Here is a 25,390-nt window from a genome sequence, read left to right as displayed (position 1 = left end):
GACCGGGGCGTTGGAGGGTGCGGCGGGCTTGGGAGCAGGGAAGGTTCCGAGTCCTAGGGAGGCGGCAGCGCTCGGCTATGCCCTCTGGAGACTGGCGGGGCTGCGGGGCCGAGGGGACCCGCGAGGGAGCCGCGCTGCGGACGCGCTGAGCGCGGGAGCTCGAGGGGCCCCAGGCAGCGGTGCGGGCGCGAAGCCCAGGGGTTGGAGGCACCTGGGCGCACAGCGCGGGGCGCTGAGCCGGGCGAGACGCGGGGTTCCCGGTCCCGGGCGCGGCGCCTAAGCGGGCGCGCGGGGCGTGGTGCACCCCTGAAGCGGCGCAGGCTGGCGCGGGAAAGCGGCAGGGCGGGGCGGCGCGGTTATTGGCCACGCGCTGGGAGCAGGGTCGCGCTCCGTGTCCTCCTCCCGACAGCTCCCACTCGCCTCATTTTCTCTAAGCAGAGCAACTTCGCGGACAGCGGAGCTCGCCCAGCATGGATGTTCCAGGTAACCACCCCCGACCTGCCCTCCCCTCCGCATGCAAGCGCCTTCTGCGTGGATTTTAACGAAGACTCTCCCTGGTCCAGATCGAGGGGTGGAGGAGGTGGAGAGAGAGAAGGGAAATCATGTAGGATCGGGGCTGCGGACAGCGGATATTTATCAAGAGCCAACTTCTCTGTTCTTAGAAAGAATACTGGAAGAGTTAATGGGAGGCTGTGGGCGGCGAGGGGGCGGCTTCTCTGCGTGTCTCTGGGCTGGTATTGAAATGGCCTGTCTGCTTTCCTGGGAGGAGCGGGGACGGGGCAAAAGTGCAGACGGGCGCGTAAGTTCGCAGAAACCTGCAGGGGCTGCCGCCCCGCTGAGAAAGAGAGAATCCCCGTGGTCTGGAAACCAGAGCTGGAGAATAACCCAAGCCTGGGATTCCGTCGTTGGAATCGGTCCTTCGCCTAAGAGAGGAATCCCAGGGGTTTCACCCAAGGGGGCTCGCTAGTGGCTGCAGGGACCTTGGAAGTAGGTGTTTGGCTTTACTGCCCGTGTGTGTGTGTGTGTGTGTGTGTGTGTGTGTGTGTGTGTGTGTGTGTGGTGTCATTTCCCCCCTAGTAATCTTATTCGCCCCAAGGAGATTCCTGGGATTTGTTCTGTGGGTGGAAAACAGATAAAATCTGTACCAAAGGGACTTAAATGGACTTTAAAAACATCTCGAGGATTGAAAAATAGAGGATAGCAGGGAAACAAGGGATAGGAAAAGGGTTCCTTGGTGCTGCTCCAAGGAAATGCTGTGAGATGAAGGCGAGAAGGCAAGCATTCGTAGGTTTTTCTTTGCCTGCGTCTTAGCCCCCTCCGCGCTGGTGAATGGGCGGGGTGGCGGTGACGCCTTCTGAGGGTCTCGGGGCCCGTCTTAGCGACGAGGACCTGCAGAAGCGCGGCCCCCTCCCTCGTCGCAGCCCCGCGCGCTGCTCGGGAGCCTTCAGGGATGCGCTGCCAGCTGCGCCCGGGCGTTTCTCCGGACCTGTTGTGCCAGATCGGAAAGCGGGTTGGCTGTGCGCGGGACCAAGGGGGTGGCCTTCGGGGAGAACCCCCGAGCCGCAGGCACCTGCTCCCAGTCCCCCTTCTTCCCGGTGGCTCCACCTCCCGGTGTAAGGCTTTGGGTTCTGTGCCCTGACAGGTTCACAGGCGCCTTTCTTCTGAGAACGACCCTGGCCTTGAACGTCAGAGCCGGGGACGAAGGCCCCCGGAGGCTGCTGCGAGCTCCGCGCGTTCCTTCGCGCCCTTCCGCGCCGCTCGCGCCGGCGCCGGCCTCCACCCCCGCGCGCCGCCTCCCACCAGTCCCGATGCAGGCGCCCGGCCGGGGGCCACTCGGGCTGCGGCTGATGATGCCCGGGCGCCGGGGGGCGCTGCGCGAGCCGGGCGGCTGCGGATCCTGCCTGGGGGTGGCGCTGGCCCTGCTGTTGCTGCTACTGCCCGCCTGCTGCCCCGTGCGGGCGCAGAACGACACGGAGCCCATCGTGCTGGAGGGCAAGTGCCTGGTGGTGTGCGACTCCAGCCCGTCGGCGGACGGCGCCGTCACCTCCTCCCTAGGCATCTCCGTGCGCTCCGGCAGCGCCAAGGTGGCCTTCTCCGCCACGCGGAGCACCAACCACGAGCCGTCCGAGATGAGCAACCGCACCATGACCATCTATTTCGACCAGGTCAGCCGTCGGCCTGCCCACCCCGCCCCCAGCCCGGGGAGAGGGGCGGGGACCTGCGCGCGCGGGCTGGGGTTCAGGCTTCTTGGACGTGGAGTTCCCAGGCTCTGTCCTCCCCCTCTGCCCTGCTAGTCTCTTTCCTCCCGTTTCATAGAACGCACTCCTACTCTTTCCCTTTTCCACATTTTGGCTTTTTAAAAACTTTTAAATGATCAGCTAACTTGGCACTTGGATGACTGAGAGTCCCTTAAGGCTGTCTAAGCTTTCTAAGAGTTCCGTAAACCTAAAGATTTGAAATATGTTTCCCAAAAGGAAGCATTGCACGTTTTACTTTTCACGGCGGTGTGGTTGATGGTCTTCAGTCACCCAGGTGGCCACCTGAAGGATTGAGTGCATTTAAAACTCTCCACGCTCACGAAAGGAGTCTTCCCAAGTCTCTGACAGCATTTGGAAAATACATTCCTATTGCTTATTTTGAGGAATGGATTGGGGAAGGGATGTTTATCTTAAAAAAAAAAAAAGTGAGGAAGAACAGGGATGGATATATAAATACAAAACAAAATATTGTGATTGTGTAAGTAAAATATATAGTAAATGAAATATATACCATAAGCAAATGCAATATATATAATGTATACATGAACAGTGTGTTGGTACAAATTTTTTAAAAGAGCAGTGACTTACGTCACCTTAAGCCACTTAACTTATGCCATTTGGTTCAATGCAGAAGGTTCAGAGATATGATCAGGCCTTTCTAAACCTTTCTCTGGGTTATTGGTGCTCAGGGTTAAAGGCTATGACCTTCTTTTTGTGTCCTGCTCGCCTGGTTTCTGTTGTTTTTCAGAAAAATAATTAAAAACATTATAGAGGTTTCCAAGCTTTAGCTAATTAGCTAATTACCTAATCATTTTACCAAAGTGTTTCCCACGGAATGGGGCGCCTGGCAGTCACTGACAACCTACCAGGGCTTACTGTACGTGTTTAATTGACTTTCCTTTGGTCTGTTAGGCAACTCTTAAACTTAATAACCATAAACCTACAGACACACACACTCTTGACTCTATTTAAGTCAGCGTATTTATTTCTCAATTATTGTTAGGCATTAAGTATTTGAGGTTTTTTTTTCTTGGCAGGGGAAGGCATGTGTCTCTTTAATTCATTTTTATTTACAAAATGTAAAATTATTTATTTTGATTATGTCCAAATGAGACAGCAATGGAATAGGCATTTGGGAACTAATACTCTATTAGTAAGGTTTCCTTTACGTGCAGTTATTGTTATATTATTATTATTCACTTACCAATGTCTTGCAAAGTTTTCATAGCATTTTTATATCCACCTTTGCATTTGTGTAACAAGAAAGCTCTGTGATGTAGGGCAGGATAAGTAGTAGCAGGATTCTAATTTTATACATGAGCAAACTATGGCAGGGTGCGTTCAACCTTTCTCTGGCTCCCCAGTTAATGAGGAGCTGAGGTCTGCTTTTCAGGATCTGGTTGGGTGTTCTTTCATCTACAGCAGGGCTAAATTCTACCTGAATTTATCAGTTTCCAGAATGTAAAATTGAGGTGAAGGAGTTGAGGTGAAAGGAAGAAGCAGCTCCAGAGGCTTAAATGGAGAATGCTTTATTCTTTTCTAAAAGCTTTGTAAGGAAGACAGCGAGCATAGCCTTGTGAGACTGAGAATAGGCATCCCGAGGTGTTTGTCTTAACAATGGAACCCAGAGTGTCTGTCTCAGTCCTGCCCTTGAGTGGAGCTGAAGTGGTGCTCACAGCTGGGTTGAAGAAGCTGAAACAGGCATATTTCACAAGTCATTTCGGCGATTGTCATTGGCAGCATTTCACATTGCGCTGGGAACTGCATGTTATTCATCTATAATGAGTGTGTAAGAAATAACAGCAAAGGTATTCCAGTTGAAGTTTGTATTCCCATTAGGTAACAAAATCTTAAACCCAGGATTTTGATGTTGTTGTTGGCTGTTTGTTTTAAAAGGCAGGCCATCTTATTATAAAGCAGTTGTGCATTTATGGATGAGGAGGATGGAGACAGCATCCAGACAAAGTGGCCAGAGTCTGTGTTGAGCATCTGAAAGAAATTGGGTCATCACGGGGGTCCCGCCACTCTTGAAATTCTGCTTATGAAACACTCACCCCTGCCCTTTTATCTGAGGAAAGCCATCTGCAGGGTCATGCGCACATTCCAGGTGGCTAATTTTGTCATTGTTTTGCATGTTGTAGAGTTCCCATTAGCTTAAGCTAAGGATGTCCAAGCTGCCGGTTCTCTATTTATTCAAGCTCATTTACAGGGCACCATGGCTCAGGCAAGGGAGCAGCACATTGCTCAGGGAAAATTAAGGAAAAACAGGAGTAGCAAATGTTTTTCTACAAAGGTCTTTCATTCACCACCCATCATCAACCACCTACTGTGTGAGTCCAGAGTGTGCCAGGAACTGAGAAACACTGGAGATCCAAACCTCACAGAGACCATTGTCTCTGGGAGCACGTGAAGTTAGGTCCCAAGCTTGAACTTACAGAAGTGATCTCCTTTAATTGGCCTCTTGCCCCATAGCCGCTTCTCTACCCATTCAGAATGGAACTTTTTTGTTTGTTTGTTTGTTTGTTTGTTCGTTTTTTTGTCAAACAAGGCATCATGCTGATGCCCCCATATTCCCACAGACCTCCCTGGACTCAATTTAGGATTTGTTTAACAAGCTTACCATCTTCGATTCCTTTCTCTCTGCCCTGCCCCTCAACTTACAAAATTCACAGCCAGTTTTTGAATGCATAATTAAAATATGCTTTAGAAATCTTGATTAGTTACAATTTATTAAAATACCTTTGAGATTACTTCCTGCTATAGGATCTTTTAACTTCAGCACTGCCTCCTTCCTGGGGAAGCCAGAATGCTGAGGATGCTGAATTTGTGTTCCCAGCCGCTGATGAAGGAGGCAGTGTTGCTGGTTATCCAAGGATGATGAAAACATACACCGAGGAGGGGCTTGCCATTGTGTGCTGTGTTCCCTCTTCTTTTTCAGGTATTAGTAAATATTGGCAACCACTTTGATCTTGCTTCCAGTATATTTGTAGCACCGAGAAAAGGGATTTATAGCTTCAGCTTCCACGTGGTCAAAGTGTATAACAGACAAACCATCCAGGTGGGTAGATTTGAAACTGGATCCTTTCAGGTTTGAGTTAATAGTTCCCCATTGCTAAAGGCCCCTTCACCTGGTCTCTGAGGCTGAGGGAGACAGGGTACTGGTCTGTCCAGGGGGTGATGTGGCTCTGAACTAGCTGGGAGTGCTCACTGTCAGGCTCCCCTGATGTGTACTCTAAGGGAAGGATGGGGGTGGGAGTGGGGATATTGGCAAAGGAGAGAACAGTGTGTGGGAGTTGGGTGCTTTATGGTCTGCTGAGCTCTACTCTCTGCATTTTAGGTCAGTTTAATGCAGAATGGCTACCCAGTGATCTCGGCCTTTGCAGGAGACCAGGATGTCACCAGAGAAGCTGCTAGCAATGGCGTGCTGCTGCTCATGGAAAGGGAAGACAAAGTGCATCTCAAACTTGAGAGAGGCAACCTCATGGGGGGCTGGAAATACTCCACATTCTCGGGCTTCTTGGTGTTTCCTCTATAAACACAGAGCCCCCTAGATGGTGGGGGAATGGCAAACTGGACCCAGGACTCCGCCCTTTAAAACACCCTGAACTTACTGGAATTGGACACCTTGTTTCCAACCTCCGTCAGACTGTTGCAGTAGAAGAATGATTTCCTTTGAAACCTCCAGTACTTTTGTTTTTGTTTTTTGGAATACTGACAATTCCTCGGGAACCTGGCCTCTAATTAGTTTTAGATGACAAGGTCTTAAGGAGAAATGAAATTATCGATTTGAGCAATTTGTACCTGTGATTGTAAAGTCAATATCGGATTTTATTGTTGGGACCATGGACCTCTTTTGTTTGTATGTTGTATTGTCGTCCCAACGGAAGGAGAGCTCCTGACTCCAGGATGGGCTGCAGGTTGCAGTCAGGGCTTGAAGTAGGAGCCCAGCAAAGAACCACCTGCTGGACAGTCCTTGACATGTGTTCTGTGTGTGTCTGTATAGCCTTAAGAAAAAGAATGGCTTCACTTTCATTCTGTATTCTTCCCCCCACCATGTGGCTGGGAGGACTTGGGAGGGGGATGGGGACATTGGGAACCTGTCAAGAAGTGCTTTATCCAGAGAAGCAAATTTTGCACGATTGGACTGCAATTTTTGTTTTGTATTGTTTGTGTTTTTTCTTGAAAAGCTTTACTTTTCTTTCCACACTCAGCTCTCCCTCCTCAACCCCACTTTTATTTTTCTTGCTGGGGTTGAGGAGAGAAAATATAGAATTCCTGGATAAGACCAAACAAAACAAAACATTAAAATACCTGTATGTTTTGTTTTAGACGAGACCAAACTAAACAAAAAGTATCTGTTTATCAAAGTAAAAGTAACACAATGGACAATTCTGCTTATTCTCTCAAAGAGATTCTAAGATGCACCTTTAGAACTATTAATAGCAACCTGCATTTTTTTTTAATTTATACTTCAGAATCCTTTAAGAACCTGGTGTTCCTGAGTGGTCCTGAATCATATAAGTTGGTAATGGAAGCTGTAATGACCAAGTCCCCTAAACATACTATGTCTTTGCCACGTGTGCTGTGACTTCTCTGTGGGTGATTTAATTTATTTGGATCCACCTCTGAGTGAGCGCACAGTGATCAGGTGCTTCAAAGCCAACAGACCAGCTCCTCTTCCTCCGGATCCTCTTTTGATCTGCCCAGGAAAGGGATGCATTGACACTCTCCTGCATGCACCTGGCGAGAAGCCACCTGAAAGTCACTGTGGTTAAAGATATTGGTGGAGGTACCCCAGGAGCACTGTTACAAATCCTTCTTGTTTTGGCATCTCGTACAACATTATTAAGACACAGCTGAGAGTTGATGGGTGTGTAATGCATATGCCAAGGAAATGTCACTAATCCCAAAGCAATCAAAAAGGAGACCTCAAACCAGATGTTAATTTGTTCTTTGTGTAACAATGTAACCAAAATATTGATGATAAAAGTCATAATTTAAGATTCAGAATAAATGGGTTTGATGTCTGGCTTGCTGTCATCCTCCACTTTGTCTCCCAACTCCCAAAATGTGTGGATGTAAAGGCCAACTGTCAAGGACCTGGGGAAGATAAATCTATACAGTGCCTCTGTAAAAAATGTACTCTCAAACATACACACACTGGTATGTGCAGACCTGGCTGTGGGTATGGATGGATATTGTACACTTAGATATATTTCAGTTTATACATATAGATTTTTTGAAAAGGAAGATCTTGGGGGAGATATGTGAAAAAGACAGCTTAAGAAGCTTTTAGGGCTAGGCAGTCTGCTTTTATCACATGTCATCTTTGATGTGGTGCAAGTTCCAATCCAGTATTTTCATCAGTGAACACTGATATAAAAGAAACTAACATTTTAAGCGCATAAGTTGTTTCCAAAAATGTGTGTGTGAGGATGGAGAGGAATTAGATTCCATTTTTGAAGAAGAAATTCAGTGGGGATTACATAAATGACAAAATGTATAGTTTGACTAAGGGTCTAAGTTTTACTGTCCTCAGATGAAGAGCATAATGGGATGCAGAATTTTATTTGAATTAAAATGCTGGTGCATTTTATGAGGGAAAAACATCAATAAAAGAGCATTAGGGGTACCTTGGCTCTGTGATTAGGAGACATACTTCTAAATAAGAACATTATTTATCAAGGCTGGTAACATAACAAGAAGAATGCTGGAATATGGTTTATTGCTCTTGGTTATTTTGGTCCTTTTTCCCTCATTTCCTTAAACTTATCTTCAATTTCAAACAAACAGGAAACCTTGTTAGAGGGCAATGTAATATGCCACAGATTGAAGCGTATACGAGTACTTGTTACTTTCGTCACTTAATCATATATAACGTATGTATGTTTGTATTTACACCTTTATTACATATAGGTTGTTATTGGGCTATCCTGTCTAATAATAAGCTATTAAGTAGACCAATTTAAACAAGAGTATATTTCAGGAGTTTATTTTGTGTTAGAAAAAAACATGATATCCTGATGATTCTACTTTAGTTATTCATCTTCCTCTTCTTTTTTTTTTTTTCTTGAGATGGATTCCAAAACCTGCCTCAGGAAGGAGCCATGCTGCTAGTGTCTCTAAAGTGGTTTCTTATCCCCTGCAGCATCTGCCAAGGTTCTGTTTGGCTGAGGATCTATGAGGCATCTGAAGCTCCTGTGTTTTGTCTACAAAAATATATAGGTCAGATCAAAATGTAAAATATGTATTTTTTTAATTGGAAAAAAAAAGAGAGGCTTCTGTAACATCCGAAAGGCCATCTGAGCCCTATCTCTGAGCTTCGGTTTTCTCATCTGGGTGAGGGCAGTGGCCCTGCAAGGTCCCCCACCTCACAGGACAGCTGTGAGGACCGCACAGAAGTTCTTTGAAAGCTGGAAGGCACCAGGATAACATGGTGTGTGTTCTTGGCAGGGAGGGTGTTTCTGCAAAAGCATATTTTTAACATGCAATTTATGAAAAAATTTAATATGACTGACAGAAGGACAATTTTATGAAAGTAAATATCCATACTTCTCAATAGACTATTAAAACTGTAGCACTGGGTTAGAATTTTGTCTCATTTGATTGTAGGGATGATGATACCAAAATCTATATGTTGTAATATTAACTCAATTCTCAATTATATTCTTTGGCTGTCTTGTGTGGTTCAAGTTCAGCTCTCTGCTTCCGTGTGGAATGCCAACATTTTATAAAAATATACAACTGTAACATTTTTAACACAAATAAAAAATGAGGTAGTAATGTTATGGCATTATAACAGTAAATTGCCTTGGCTGATTAAATATTAGCCCTACTAAATTGTAAGTGCTTATAAAACACAATTTTTTAAGTTAAAATATATTCTAATTTAAATCGCAACCTTGGTGAGTCAACTCTAGGTCCTGAGAAACTATGTTTACTATCTGTAATTTCTGAACCTTCATTGCATCCTAATAATTTTGATTTATATGTTCATGTATATGTGAAATTACAGTGTTAAAGTGTGTGCTTATGATAGCTGCTCAGAGTAAAAGTGATAAAAACTTATTGAATATTAGTATAAAAACTCACAGAATCCTGTAGAGACTACATAGATTCATAGATTTACCTGTTTAAATTTTAAAGCTAAATCTAATTATATTAAGCATCAGAAGAATTAGAAAATATATATAAAGCAAAAAATATTTGTTGAATCTTTAACTTTATTTGTAGTATTTTCTTACCATCAAGAAATTACAATGGTCACATACTTAGTAACTGCCACATAAATACTGTTTGCTTGTAAATACGTGAACTTCCCCCTCTGAATTTTTAGCATAGAAATACAACATAAACTACATGGGTTGGCCACATACTCCTGGAATCTGGAAATATGTGAGAGGAAAATTTGATAAATTATTTTATGCAAGCAAAACAAAAGCGCTGGTTGCTCCAGAATACTTTAGATGTCGCGAAAGGAGCAAAGAATGTTCTGTCAATTTGTAGGACCATAATTTTGCAATCTTTTATAAGGAAAAATGTTGCAATGAGATATAATGTTTGTGTGAATAAAGTAGTGAATGTTTGTTTATATTTCGACAGCATAAGAAGTATATAATAACCTAACGCACAGATACACATGAATGAAAGGCTCTTTTACGTTATATTTAAGATGGGGAACTCATAGAAGTAGCTTACAGTGAATCCTTCTGAAGGCTTTATTGAGTACTGTGTAAAAACTCTTGTAAAAATATAGAAAGATTAACTGTAGAACTACAATGAGTTTTGCCCTTTCGCCTTGCTTATATGGAGATTTATTTGTCATTGGGATTCTATTTCTAAAGCTGGCACTTTGCTACTAAAATGGGATATTACAAACATATTTTTAAATTTAATATCAAAGCCTGTTAATTCTCATGAGACTCTTAAAATTATTTTCTCTTGACATTTAAAGAGCAAGCACACCAAATATACTGAAGTATGTTAAAATACAAATTTTGCTTTGGTTTTATCATTTTATGCTCTTTGTGCTCTCTATCTTTTTTCCTATGATACACTATGAAGAAGTTAGCTGATGATGTCCACAATTATTAGTCAAATGTGTCTGTGTATTTGCCCCGCATTTTGAAACTTATTTTTGCAGAGAGATCTCACCAAAAGGCATATTTACTGCCTTTGCAGATGGATGGCTACAATTTTTGAAGATATTTTAAACATCTGCTTTGTTACATAGCTATCCATGATGTGATTGGACAGATCTAGTCCCCAAATCTCCAGTCCCCAAAAGAAGACATCATATTAAAAATCCTTTATAAGATCCAATAGATGTAAACTTTAAAAAATGGGCATGTATGCAAGTCTGTATAATAGCATTATGCCAAAACATGAATCATAAGTAAATGAGCTTTCCTTGCATTCCCATACCCAGTGGGGTAACTTGAAATTTGTAAGGGCAAAAGCCACGTGATTTTGCCTCCTACAGATAATAGGAGTTCTGTTTTATCATCCTAAGTGGGTTTTGCTGTGGATTTCCATCACCAGAATTACTCAAGTGTCTATAGCATCATAAATCATCATCTTCATCAGCTCGCCCACATACACTCACTGTGTAGTGTAAATGAGCTCCTTGACAACTTAATTTGGAAAAGAAATCTTCATTCTCCCTTCTTAATGCCTACAGCAGGACTCCCCAGGGTTAGAATGCTGCTTTGCACTGAGGCTATCCTAGCAAAATGGAAGCTACTAATTAATGAGCCACTACTAGTCTTGCAACCTGACTAGTAATGAATGTAACTTTTATTGTTGTTCACCCGCTTTCTTCAGGAATGCTGACTTCTTTTGAATTCATATCAGGTTGCAATAAACACTGAGTTGGAGAAGAATATTGGTAATAATCTGGAATGTGAAACTCCTGAATATTTTGCTGAAGTCTGTTTGATCTAAGTTTATTCATTTAAAAATACTTATATTAATCTCTTATGTCTTCAAAAGTCCTCTAGGATAAAGGGGCATTTTCTTCACTTTATACCAAAAAGAAACATTTCTTGTGATTCTGGGTGCAGCATTATTGTGGAACTGACACAATGACAATATTATCATAGGAAAAAGAATATATAAAAATAGCCAAACTAATCGAGTAAAAATTGGCAAATTTTTCTTACTACTAAAATCCCTCATTTGCAATATTTTTACATGGATCTTAAAGATTCCCTCCAGTCTTAAAAGTATATTATTCTATGTAGTATTTATCTTCAAATTGCTAATTTTCTTTTATAATTCTTTCAGAGAGGAGATTATCACTGAAAAACAAATTTAGGACATGAAAATGTGATACCATCTTCTTTTCTAATTCCCAAGCACCATGTCAGGATGTCATAGCACAGTTTTTGCTCTGAAATTGTAAACTCTTAAGTGGAAGGAGCAGTTATAGGACTTATAAAAAATGATCTATTCTTTTGGGAACAGAGTGTAGATATTTTCTTTTCATTTCACAACATTTATGTATAGCAGCCTAAGGAACAGACAGTGTGCTTAAGGATGGTGACAGAAAATTGAAGATGCCCTCGATGTGCAGAAAGAGCTTGTAGTCCTTCTTAAAAAATAACATTCAGAATAATCCTGGAGGATACTCAGCTAAACTGATGGTGAGGGGGTGGGCTGGGGTGGGTGGGGTGGAAATGTAAATGCGTGTTTACTGAAGTGAATAATATAATTTCGTTTTTTTACATATGAGGAGGAGAATGTTATTTTGACGTTGACATTGAATACTGAACATCAGTTGATATCCTGACTGAAAGGGCCCCCCATTTTGAATATGGCCACAGGTCTAGCAAACCAATCGCAAACTAGGGCTTGTGAACCTTGGAAGAATTGAAGTGGACAGGGAAAGACGCAGAGAATTCCCATCATTTTAAAACATGAGGGGTAAACTATAGTAGCCATTTTTGCAGTTTATTATTTTTTCTTGTCTTCTATCTAGTGAATTACTTCGAAAGACAGAAGGCATGCTAGAATTAGTCGAATCCTTAGAAGACAGTCATGTACCAAGATGCAAATAAGGCATGATTTGAAGGCTATCTTAAACAGAACTGAATTGGGGACCATTTTAACACATTGATTTTTTTTTTCTTTTTTTGCAAGATATTAACTTACTGAATAAAGAATAACTTAAGAAGAAACAAAAGATAAATGTGAGACCAAATGGCACCGGAAGAAAGTTTGAATTCTGTATGTTTTATACAGCATTTAAGTGTAGCAGCCTAGGGTCCAGACACTTGGGGACAGACACACACGTGTGAGTGTGAGTGTGTGTGTTTGAATATAAACAAATACCTACAGTCAAAATGTACCCACTACGAAAATGCCTCTCATGTCCCTGAAGCTGCACCATTCCTGAAACTTGCGTTCGGCAGATGAGGAGATGATGGGCCCAAGGGCCTTTACCCATTACATACTTCTAACTTTTAATCTCAAGTATTTGGTCCATGTTTCACATTTTATTTCTTGTGTTCAATCTTAGGAGTTTATTTCACCAGAAGGTAGAAATTACATCTGGTCTCCCTGACAGACAGAGATTGAGAACTTTTGAGAATAATTAGGCCATCTGGTGCTATAAATCCAATGGAAAGTTATGATCAGTGGATCATGGCCTAATCTGCTCTTCATCCATTGCATCTGAATTATCTTGGCACAAAAGAATGACAAGGGGCTGGATTTTTAAAGGAAATTGCCACATCTCCCCAGTCATTAGCAGGCAAAAGGCATGCATGCATCAGACTGTGACAATTAGGGAAGACTTATTCTCCCCTAAGGCCTATTACTTTTTGATACTTTTTATCTTAATGGAGAATTGAAATGAACCTAAATTTTTTCCAAAATTGCAGAAACATTTGTTTCAGGAAAAAAAACTCCCCAATAGATGGTGCTGGTGCTGTGATTTAAACCACTGCATCATTAGTATGCAAAAAAGCTCCAGAGAGAGGCCTCCGGGAATTCCCTTACATCAAGTTATAGAAAGACAAGAATGTGGCTTTATTTTTGCTAAATGCAAATTGACATAATTGTATAATTTGAAAACTTCAGAAATATTTCTTGATGTTTTGAGGTCAAGAAATTACTCCTCGTTTCATTGTTCATATCTCAAATATCTTTGAAACATAAATGCAAACACAATTGAATGCTGCAAAAGATGAGCTGAGAGGCCTTCCAAGTTTCTTCCTGCATACCGCTTCAAGGGTCTATTAGTGAAGCTATAATGTGAAGGTTATAGTACAAAGTATAACAGATTCTTGCTTCATATTGATGAGAAAAAAAATTGCAGATGCAAGAAGCATTTTGGCAGAATGATGCTGCCACTGATGTTGACAATGAGCACTTAATATAGCTAGACATGATACTGAGTGCTGAACAATTATCTTTCCATTTAATCATTATGACAACCATACAAGGTATACTGTTACCATTTTATAGATGATGAATATAATGTTCAAAAAGATAAATGATATGGTCAAAGTCTCAAAGTAAATAAATTACAAAGGTGGGATTCAAATCCTGAACTTTCTAACTTCAGAACCTATTCTTTGAACTATTATATTATATTATTGGAATATGTATTATATTACATGTCCAGTATAAAAGATACAGTGTGAAAAAACAATTTCATCCAGAAATCTATATATTCTCATTATTCATAAATGTTTCTATCACAGTTATTTAAATATAACACATTGTTTAAAAAGGACAATTTAGATTTGCATGCTGCACACATAAAATCTGTTCCATTGTAATTATAAGAGAAGTCTTGCAACAGCTGATATAAATTTACTAAACTGCTTACATTGGAAACACCAAAGTTTGGGCTCTCATGTTTAGTCATCATCCCCATGCAGAAAATGATAATGGAAATATTTTTTCCTCTGTTTCTGTTGCCAGCACTCTTTGCAAAGATAAACTCAAAATACTCGAACCTATAAACACAAATAGTTCATTTTTCCATGTAATGTATATTTTATAAAGGCCAGAGATCCCTCTCTGTTTAGAATTCTGAAGTTTAGCCTAAGAAATCAAGTGCAAGACGCAAATTAGCTATCCTTAAATTGAACAATTTGCTGTTTTAAAGCTGGTCCTGAAACTTTAAGCTTAAACTCTGGTTTGAGAAATATCTTTCAGAATCAGGAGTCAGGATGTTCCTTCAGAGATTAGATGCCTTTCCCTGAAAGCATAATTATTTATTTAAGCAAAATTAAAACCAATTACATGAAGTAATTATAGATTTTAACGATGATTAGCAGCATTTGGTTGTATTAAATCCTTTTATTGCATTCTTATACCAGAGGAAAACACATTTTGTAGTTTAGGTAGTAAATGGCAAAACAAAATATGTCTAAAAAAGCTTTTTTGAGAATATTTTTCTTTTTTTTTTTTCTTTTTCTTTGAAGACAGAGTCCTCCTCTGTCACCCAGGCTGGAGTGCAATGGCACCGTCTCGGCTCACTGCAACCTCCACCTCCCAGGTTGAAGCAATTCTCCTGCCTCAGCCTCCCAAGTAGCTGGGATTACAGGTGTGTGCCATCACGCCCAGCTAATGTTCTGTATTTTTAGTAGAGTCAGGTTTTTGCCATGTTGGCCAGGCTGATCTCGAACTCCTAACCTCAGATGATCTGCCTGCCTTGGCCTCCCAAAGTGCTGGGATTACAGGTGTGAGCCACCATGCATGGCCAAGAATGAATATATATATATATATATATATATACACATATATATATAATATATATACGTATATATATACGTATATATACGTATATATATACGTATATATACATATGTATATATGTATATATTTTGTTGCCTTTAATTACATTTTTTTCAGCCCACATATTAGCTTAGAGATGGGAAATTGATTACATTTAAAATTTTTAACTCTGAATTTATTACCAAGCGTTTTAATCTAATACATATTTTCTTAATATTTTAAACAAAGAATAAAAGTCCTCATTTTTTTTAACTTGCACATGAATGTACACATGAATAGGAAGGCAGATAGATAGATAGTTAGACAGATACTTTCAATATATGGTAGCTTGAACATGACAAAGACTCTGTCCTTGACCTAATGTTAGACAGGCTCCTCTGATCCCTCTTCTTATGAGGGCTTGTCCTTTGGCCTTTTCCTGGAGCCTGCCCAACCCAGTTGTAGCAAAACTCCTGTTAAGTCACTTTAATATTTAAGGAGAGGTGAGTCCAATTCCTGATCCAATCCAGTGCTCCAAATTACAGTCCATGGAAGCACAGTAAGAAGGATTTTGATTTTAAGATTCTGAACATACTCTCAAGAATGGGTTGTAATTCCAGGCTCTGGGCAAAAATCTTCATGGATGGAAATTGTCTTGTGTTTTTTTGTTTTTTTTTTTGGTGGGGTGGGGGAGGGTAGTAAGGACTTGACATTTGAGGTGGAAACTTCTGGCTCTTTTGTGAGGTTTTGATATGGTTTGGCTGTGTCCCCACCTAAATCTCACCTTGAATTGTAGTTCCCATTATCCCAGCGTGCAATGGGAGGGATCTGGTGGGAAGTAATTGAATCATTGGATGGGTCTTTCCCTGTAATCCCAGCTATGTGGGAGGCTGAGGCAGGAGAATTGCTTCAACCTGGGAGGTGGAGGTTGCAGTGAGCCGAGATGGTGCCATTGCACTCCACCCTGGGTGACAGAGGAGGACTCTGTCTCAAAAAAAAAAAAAAGAAAAAAAGAAAAGAAAAAAGAAGTGATAGTGAGAACACTGTCACTGTTCTCATGATAGTGAGTAAGTCCCAGGGATCTGATGGTTTTACAAAGGGCAGTTCCCCTGCACATGCTTTCTTGTCTGCTGCCATATAAGATGTGCCTTTGCTCCTCATTTGCCTTCCACTATGATTGCGAGGTCTCCCCAACCATATGGAACTGTGAGTCCGTTAAAACTCTTTTTCTTTATAAATTACTCAGTCTTGGGTATTTCTTCATAACAGTATAAAAATAGACTGATACATGCCACTCTTTTAGAAGCTGGGTGACAGTCTCAAGTTTTTCTGTTTATAAGACATAAAGGCTGGGTTAGAGTCCTAGGCTTCTTTGTTTGCAAGGCACCACTAGTTAAGAACATGGGAGCTTCTCAGTGGACTAGACCCTTCCACTCCCCATTCCTGCCCCAACATCCTTCTCAAATCCCCACTGACATGCTCTACACTAAGATGCTAACTCTGTCCTATTCTTTTCTTATTGGCATGCCTTTACTAGATATTTTGGAACTTCACTGGCTTCTTCAGGAAAATTGAGATGCCCTCTAACAGGCTCCTCTCAGACCTCTCCCTTCCCAGTGCCCACGCTCCTCCCTCCTCTTACCAGCTTAGGTCACTTTGAATCCTTTAATTTGTCCCCATCCCAACCCCTACCTTCTCCATTCCTCCACCCACTCTTGTGAGGCTTTTCCATTCCCATTCCAGCCCCTCAACTCCTGACTATCCCTTGAACTTCAGGCCCCTGCTCCACATTTAGGATCCTCAAGGATCTCATGGACCACCAAAGCCACTACATACCAGTGCAAAAGGCAATCTTAAAGTGTTGTATTAGTCCGTTCTCACACTGCTAATAAGGACACACCTGAGACTGGGTAATTTATAAAGAAAAGAGGTTTAATGGACTTAAAGTTCCACATGGCTGCAGAGGTCTCACTATCAAGGAGGAAGGTGAAGGAGGAGCAAAGTCACATCTTACATGGCCACTGGCAAGAGAGCTTATGCAGGGGAACTCCCCTTTATAAAATCATCAGATCTTATGAGACTTATTCACTCTCATGAGAACAGCATGGGAAAGACCCACCCCCATGATTCAGTTACCTCCCACTGGGTCCCTCTCATGACACATGGGATTTATGGGAGCTACAATTCAAGGTTTGGGTGGGGACACAGCCAAACCATATCAAGTTTTTTTCATAAATATTGGTGAAAATATTAGCTCTCATAGGTGCACAAAGGCATAGAGAGTAGCATAACGAACATTGGAGACTCAGATGCAGGGAGGGTGGGAGGGAAGTGAAGGATGAAAAATTTCCCATTGGTTACAGTGTACACTATTGGGGTAATGGGTACACTAAAATCCCAGGCTTCACCACTGTACAGTTCATCCATGTAACCAAAAACCACTTGCACCCTGAAGCTATTGAAATAAAAAAAATATTAAAAAATCATAAGCTATCATCTTTAACAAGTAACCTTAACACATTTCTTCCACCAGAAACACAATTTAGATAAAAATACAAAGTGAAGCAAAGAGAGAACCAATTAACTTATATCAGCTAGTGAATTTTGTATTATTATATTTACCTGACTCCTAGCTAGAATTTTAAAATGAAAGGCACAGAGTATCTACATGCATCTGTCTGTATGTTTGTGTGTGTATACATATATTATGTATACATATATGTGACATCTTTCTGCATCTGGATAGTATTAGCAAATAAATTCATTAAGTCCTGTAGGAAGCTCTATTTAAATTTGTTTAGAGATAAATAAACACACACACATATGTATTAAATCCTGAAACTCTCAGAAATATAGTAACTAAACCAAATGTTTTTCTAGTTCACAAGATTTGAGTAAATCTTTGATAAATAAGACTTTGGTATTACTGGTTTAATAAAAATTAGTATGTCTTCTGAATTATCAATAATTAAGTAAAATATAAACATACATTTCTATTCTGCTTTGATTTACTTGTCAAATGAGGTAATATTTATGACATGTTTAAGAGTATGAAAATTATGAATTCAACCTAAGGACAAATGTACAAAGAAGCAGTAAGAATGAATCACTTCATTCATACCAACCATAGCAGTGAAACAAAAAACCCATATACATAACTTTTTTAGATTTTTTTTTCTGATACTTGCCTAATATCCATGTGTTATTAAAGACAATTGACAGGAAAACAACTTGAGATAATAGCTGGCTTAGTTTAAGTTATAATATGTCTGCCAAAAAATAGTTTCCAAAATCTTTTTTGTTAACTTTGAGCCTTAGATTTATGCAAAGTTAAGTAATGAATATTCACTAATAAGTAGGATAAATTCCTGAAGCATTCATTATTAAGCCTACATTTAAGTGTTTATAATTTTAGCTCTTATTTTTATGTGGTAATGAGAGATTAAATATATTTGGGTCTGTAAATAAGCATGTTCTTTATGCTGCATTGAAAAATTGTACTATGAAGAGGCATACACCTATAAAAATTATGAGATAGTATAGTCATAAAGTTTACTCTTAGGCTACAGAATTTTATATGTAAAAGACAATTCACAATTGTCTATTTCCTCATTTTCATTGTGAGAGAAAGAAAAAAACTACGAATGGTAAACATGCTAATCAAGATATGAAAACAAAAGTAGTAAAAATATGTAGATGGGAAACAACATGATATGCAACATATTCAGGAATGTAAGGTGTATTTTTGTTAAGGGAAAAAGTGTATAATTTTGTTCTAGGTAAAAAGCAATGAAAAATATAGGGGAAAAACTTAATGGATATATAAAGTTACAGAAAATGAATCTTGGAAAAGCAATCTTACCTCATGGATAAGGCTGCATGAATTTATTTATAAGATTTGTTTACTTTCTTTTGTTAAGGTTTCCTATTAACAGTACATGAATACAAACTAGAATTTAGTTTTCTTTGTTAAAATAACAAAGTTTTCTCAGATTATTTGTCTGTTCTTAGTAAGAGATTTTAAAAGATTTTTTCTTTTTTTTTAAAGCAATCTGCCTGAGCAACAAAGATTCTGTTTCTTATCAGAATAATTTCCTGTGCTTTATATTGACTTTATCATGTTCTTGATTATTTAAGAGAACTGAGTCTTCTCACTTGTTAAAAGAATGAAAATTAAAATTTTATTATGATTATATTCCTCCTATGTTTAGTTTTGAATTTTTAAATGGACATTTTGGTTAAATAGGTAGCTAATATTGTTTCACAATGACCTAAGATCCCATTTAATCAAATGTGTCAACGTTTTAATATTATTAAAATTTTGCCTTCCCAAAATCAAATCCCAAATGAAATATTACTGATATTGAACTGACTTTGAGATTCCTCTGAAGCAGCCTAGAAAATCTCAAAAGATTTGTCTTTTTTAACATCCTTTAAAAAATAGGTTTGTTTGATATGTTTAATTGCATGAAAAGGATTGTCGAAGAAGAGATGCTTAATCTTTCCTATGTTACATTTGTAAATATTATTACCATAAAAATTTCAAAAGTTGTATGAAGTTCATAGAAATATTTCAGTAACATCATTGTCCATGCTATTTCTGGTTATAATGTTATTGTCATAATTCCAGATAATATTTTAAAATATTGCATGTCACAGAAATAACCACATTTCCTTGTCAAATGAATTCTCATCAGATCTTTCACCATGGCCATTTACATTTTTTTTTAATTCACAGATAGTTTTTGTTTTAATCTGATTATTCTCTAAAAGCATTCGCAGTCAGCTACAGGCCAGAGGGCTTATCTTAAACAAAAAGGGATGGTCTGAAAGAAACTTCGAAAGCTATAATAGGTACTTGTGGGTACAGGCTGTTGATGGTAGTCTTTAAATTATTTTGAGACCATCCCACTAGACTGAATAAAGATTTTCAGAACTCTAGTGAAGAAGCTGATGGATTTGTAAAACTGCTAACCCCGGATTAAGTAGAATAATCATGAATTACATGGGACTGAATGAACTGATAAAAAATGATAATAATTTTTATGGCTTCTGTTTGGAACGTTGCTGGTTATTCAATGTTCTATTTTCTGGATGTGATAACTCCTTTCCCTTCTGTATTAAACTATCTATAACTCATAAAAATGTAGTATAAATAGAAGAAAAACATTTATCTTTTTCTTTCTCACTAATCCCCCTAGGAAACAAGGAATATTAACATTATTAACATTTTGCCTTCCCAAAGGAAAAATTTGGTGTGTCTTATTGAGTGTTCTCTGTTTCATGGCAATATAAATATTTATATACTTCAATAGGAGTCTGTCTTCCTCATAGCAGGGTATAATTGGACAAATTGGTTATATAACAAAGGCTTTTACTGGAAAGTCATATTTCAGAATGATGTTGCATAAAATAAGGTCTGATCAGACAGTTTTAAGAAACTAAGATTGACTTTGTGGAGTCAATGCTTGCAAAGCTGCCTTGGAAAAACAAGCCTGGCCCTGGCTCACAGGGTCTCCAGCTTTAGAGGTGAGTGAGGAAAATCACTTTCCGGGAGATTCCAGAAAAAGGAAATTTTGGGAACCTTGAGAAGAGAGGAATTCACCCACATCTATAGGTAATGTAGGTGAAGCATGCTAGGAGGTTCTTGGCTTTTTTCTTTGCTCAATAGGCTTCTGAAAGTCAAATCTGAAATTCCGTATGTAAAGTTTTAGCAAGGGAAACTTAAAAAGGCCAGTGTGGTCAGTTACCATTTTTGTTGCACTTGTGTAAATTATTTGGCCAAATGTAATGAGACCACACTTATTTTGTAAGCAAGAATAACCTAACTTTGGTTATCTTTGATCAAAAATGATGGTGACTGTAGTGAGAAATTTTGTTTCCGTAGAAAACTGTCGCACATCATGTGGGTTATCGGGTTCTGGTCCCATTCACTGTCTTTGAGATTTTGTTACCCATCTCTAAATCAGAATGGATTCTACATCTTGCACATTTTTTCAGTCCTTACAAAATTCTCAGTTCTCCCATTTCCTCAATATTTGGCTACAATTGTTCAAATTAATTTTTCCAATATTTATTCCACTCTCCTGACGTGGTGTCCCTAATAACTAAAACCTGACTTTCCACAACCTTATTGGAAGGTTAGGTTATCTGATAGCTCACTTTCCCTCTCCCCGACCCTCCCCCACCCAACCCCAGGATATAAAGCAGCCGTCCCAGCTGCCACTGGAAGATCTTTGTGTGTGGAGCCGCTGCCGTGTGGTAATTGCCAATCAGGAAGCTTCCAGTCCAACATCTACAAATATTCTCTGCTGACTGCTCTACCACTAAGCCTGGACAAATGGTTCACTGGTTTGTTGTTTGTTTGTTTGTTTTTGAGACAGAGTTTCTCTCTGTTGCCCAGGCTGGAGTGCAATGGCATGATCTCTGCTCACTACAACCTCCGCCCCCTGAGTTCAAGTGATTCTTGTGTGTCGGCCTCCCAAGTAACTGGGATTACAGGTACCTGCCACCACGCCTGGCTAATTTTTGTATTTTTAGTAGAGATAGAGTTTCACCATGTTGGCCAGGCTGGTCTCAAACTCCTGATCTCAAGTGATCCACCTACCTCGGGTTCCCAAAGTGCTGGGATTACAGGTGTGAGCCACTGTGTCTGGCAGCCACTGTGAAGGGCTTGTTTTTAATGAATAAAGGTGATCAAACAGGACATGGACTTATATTGTTCAGAGGAAAAGAGAATGCCTCTTCTTTGAATAAGAAGAGAGACTTACAAAGACTCTCTCTTGACCAAACTTTAGACAGGCTCTACTGAACCCTCTTTTTGATGAGGCCTGGTCTTTGGGCTTTGTTCTCAGTACTGCCTAGCTGGTTGTAGCAAGAATCCTGCTGAATTGGCTTAAGGAGAAGCTCCCTTCCCTTGATACCTGATCACTTGACTTGTCTTATCACGAGTCCATTTAACAATGAGAACACATGAACACAAAGAGGAGAACAACAGGGTGGAGGGTTGAGGGGAAGGAGAGGATCTGAAAGAAAAAATACTTATTGAGTACTATGCCTATTATACCTTTTTTACTAAATAATCTGTACACCAAACCCCCGTGACACTGTTTGCCTATATAACAATCCTGCACATGCACCCTTAAACCTGAAATTAAAGTTTAGGAAAAAGAATCAGTTTAAATCGGTTTAGCAAGATTCCCTGCACTTGAAGTCTTCTCTTAGTAATTTTCTGTCCACTAACTCTGCTGTAAGGCTTCACATCTCCAGCTGTCTTTGTTGTATTTGGAGTCTCACCATTGTCCGATGGTCTTGACGCCTAATATGATAGCCCTAAATAAAATCTCCCTTACCATTTTAACTATTGTCAGAATAATATGTTATTTGACAAATGTATGCATAATATAATTTATATTTAGATAAATATATAAATATAATTTATAAACATTTTAACCGTGTGTGTGTATATATATATATATATATAGCATACCATCACACAGATATAAAACCATAGGGATAAAAAGAGTAATGAGGAAAACTACCATTCAAAGAAGAAATGCATCTTTTCAAAAATACTTATGAAACATATTCATCTTCTCAGAATACTTAATCTTCTGCATGAGAACCTGCTATACATGATGTAAACTCGGGTAAGTCACACAGCTTATCAGGTGAGTGTAACAATTATGCAGCACTTACTGTGTACCAGCCAGTGTTCTGAGTGGTTAAAGTATATTTAGTCATATTAACCCTATAACATAGGTATTATTCGTATCTCCAGCTTGAATGTTAACAATTTAAGGTCACAAACACTAATAATTTAACTAACTTTCCCAAGGTCAAACAGATAGTAAGTAGAGGGGCTCTGCTTCAAACCTAGCCAGTCTGATCCCAGTCTCTGCTTCTAACTATGTTATACTATCCCTCTGGATGACTGTGACATAAACTCCAATGATGTGGCAAGCAGACTGTGCCACTGTGATGGCTGAATCAACTTTAGTGATTAGCAAAAATAAATCAATGCCACAATCGGGATGATGAATCTTTCAGTGAACACCTGAGTCATAGAGGGTTCCAGCAAGCTATTTTAGTCCTTCCCAAGAACAGCCCAACTGAGCTACCAAGTTCCACTCATTTCCCAGACATGCACTCCTGACGTTTCCAAAGCAGAAGTCATTACGCTATCTGCTAAATTCCTACCAGCCATATCTTGCAGTCGCCGTAGCACAGAAGCCTAAATTTGAGCCTTGAATCCTGATTATTTCTGGTCTGGCTTGTGCTTCTATATCAGCCAGGAATAAAGTGTTCTTAAGACCTGGTTTCCAACGTCCACCTAATTTCAATAACTCCATCCTTGACCTTTTGCTTATGTGTGTGCCTTATTAGTATTTGTTTTTATTCGAATTTCGCTATGTCTAGCTACCCCCAATTTTCTTCCTGCCAGTTGCTTTTCCTGAGAAAAATGTCATTCTCCTGAGGTCCTGGTCTCCTGCTGTATATTTACAGACCTCTCCAATCGTCAAAGAGTGCTGGTCACCCAGTTTATCTGCTTGCTTGCTCCTCAGATTTCCAAATATCTCTTGTTCCTGGACATCTTATCCCTCGGTACCTTTTTTCTTAAATCTTCATAATTGCTACTGTTTTACTAAGATCTCTTTTGGAAGCTCTTCCATTTTTAAGAAAGAGTGGGCTGGGCGCGGTGACTCACACCTGTAATGCCAGCACTTTGGGAGGCCGAGGCGGTGGATCACGAGGTCAGGAGATCGAGACCATCCTGGCTAATTCGGTGAAACTCCATCTCTACTAAAAATTCAAAAAAATTAGCCAGACGTGGTGGCAGGCTCCTGTAGTCCCAGCTACTCGGGAGGCTGAGGCAGGAGAATGGCGTGAACTCGGGAGGCGGAGGTTTCAGTGAGCTGAGATTGCGCCACTGCACTCCAGCCTGGGTGACAGAGCGAGACTCCGTTTAAAAAAAAAAAAAGTGAAACAATCTTCCTTAAAACGGAAAACTATCAAACTATCAACTATCACAGAAAACTGAGAGCATATTTCAGTAGTCCAGTAAGAAACAATGAGAATTGAAGCTCAGATAGTATTAGTTTAACGATGTGGATGAATGGGTTAGGGAGATGCAAAGGGGGCAATCTTGACATTATGTGTTCACTGCTTGTAGATGGGAATGGAGGAGAGACGAGCATTACAGAGGGTTCGCATAACTGGCTATACAGTCACAGAGAGACAGTGGTCATATTCACCAAGATGGGATAAGAACAACCATAGTTAATGTAGCACAGTCATATATGTGAGTGCCAAATTTTACTGAAATTGTATATAGTTTACTACCTTGTCTCTTTTTGATGTTTCATAGCCCCAGAGTAAATAAATTTTAATGGTTGAGTTACTTTGATATTTTATGTATTTTATTTCATTAAGTAATAGCAATTTATCTGTATGTTATATATGTGTGTAACCACTCAGTTAATCAATTATTAAATATGTAATGAATGATTCTTTTAATAATCTATTGAATTCAAATATCACGTTGCAGCTTACAAAGTGCCTTGTTTACTTTTTTAATTTAATTGTTACTTTATATCATCAGCTCAATCAACTTTCTGTTTTAGTAAGAATTCTTAAGGAACAGATTACAGTAAATTTTACCCCTTTTAGTGCACAGTTCTCTTAGTTTTGACAAGCTCAAACAGACCTGTAGCCCACCATGATCAAGATGTAGTACATTCGACTATCCCATCAGTACAGGATCCTTTGCAGTCAACTGCTCCACAAGTCCTGGCAATTCCTGATCTACTTTGCTTTCCAGAACATCAAACACAGTAAAACAAAACTCAATCTCTTGAGGCTGGCTTTTTCCCTTAGCCTAATGTATTTGAGATTCGTCCATGTTACTGCTTGTTTTGATTATTTCTTCCTTTTTAATTCTGATTCGTATTTCGTTATAAGCATAAGTTTACTATTAATTCACTGGCTTAAGGACCTTCAGATTTCTTCTGGTTTTCAGTGATTATTAATTAAGCCACTATAAGCATGTTTATCTATTTTTTGATCCATATTACTAAAAGTAATAATCAATAAATTTATAAGTTGAGCATTGTTTTTCCCATTTTTCAGAAGAGATTAAATGACTTTCTCCAATTAAGTAGCCAGTAAGTGGTAAGAACTCTAGAAGGATTAGAATTTGGTTAGGTGAAAAGATGAATAAACTTATTTCAAGAAAATGCATGTGTTCGCATGCTCACACTTGTACATGCACACACACGCACAATGGATACCCTAAATTTAACTGAGTTCAGCCAGACTTCTCTACAGATTGACAGCTCCAGTTGGCTCCCTCTAGCAGTGTTCAAACGTTTTACGGCCCCATACCCCTGCAGACACCTATCACT

At 39.7% G+C, this 25,390-nt stretch overlaps 1 protein-coding gene across 6 annotated transcripts in view; it reads left to right on the top strand.

Moving 5' to 3' along the window:
* Positions 1-7,288, top strand: part of CBLN2 (cerebellin 2 precursor) — a 101,841-nt gene extending 94,553 nt beyond the window's left edge. For 2 of the 6 annotated variants that reach the window (XM_006722394.4, NM_182511.4), the window contains 4 exons: positions 439-483; positions 1,643-2,165; positions 5,197-5,316; positions 5,596-7,288. In XM_006722394.4, the coding sequence (XP_006722457.1) occupies positions 1,809-2,165; positions 5,197-5,316; positions 5,596-5,793 (675 nt within the window). In that variant the 5' untranslated portion in view covers positions 439-483; positions 1,643-1,808 and the 3' untranslated portion in view covers positions 5,794-7,288. Of the gene's footprint in view, positions 1-414; positions 988-1,642; positions 2,166-5,196; positions 5,317-5,595 lie in introns of those variants that run through there. The other 4 variants (XM_017025559.2, XM_011525824.3, XM_017025560.2 and 1 more) reach the window with 4 other exon arrangements.
* The last annotated feature ends 18,102 nt before the right edge of the window (positions 7,289-25,390 follow it).

The sequence above is a fragment of the Homo sapiens genome, chromosome 18, assembly GCF_000001405.40.
Source record: "Homo sapiens chromosome 18, GRCh38.p14 Primary Assembly".
In the NCBI taxonomy this organism is placed as follows: domain Eukaryota; kingdom Metazoa; phylum Chordata; class Mammalia; order Primates; family Hominidae; genus Homo; species Homo sapiens.
Note: the sequence above shows the minus strand (reverse complement) of the source record. Positions and strands in the feature narration are given on the sequence as shown.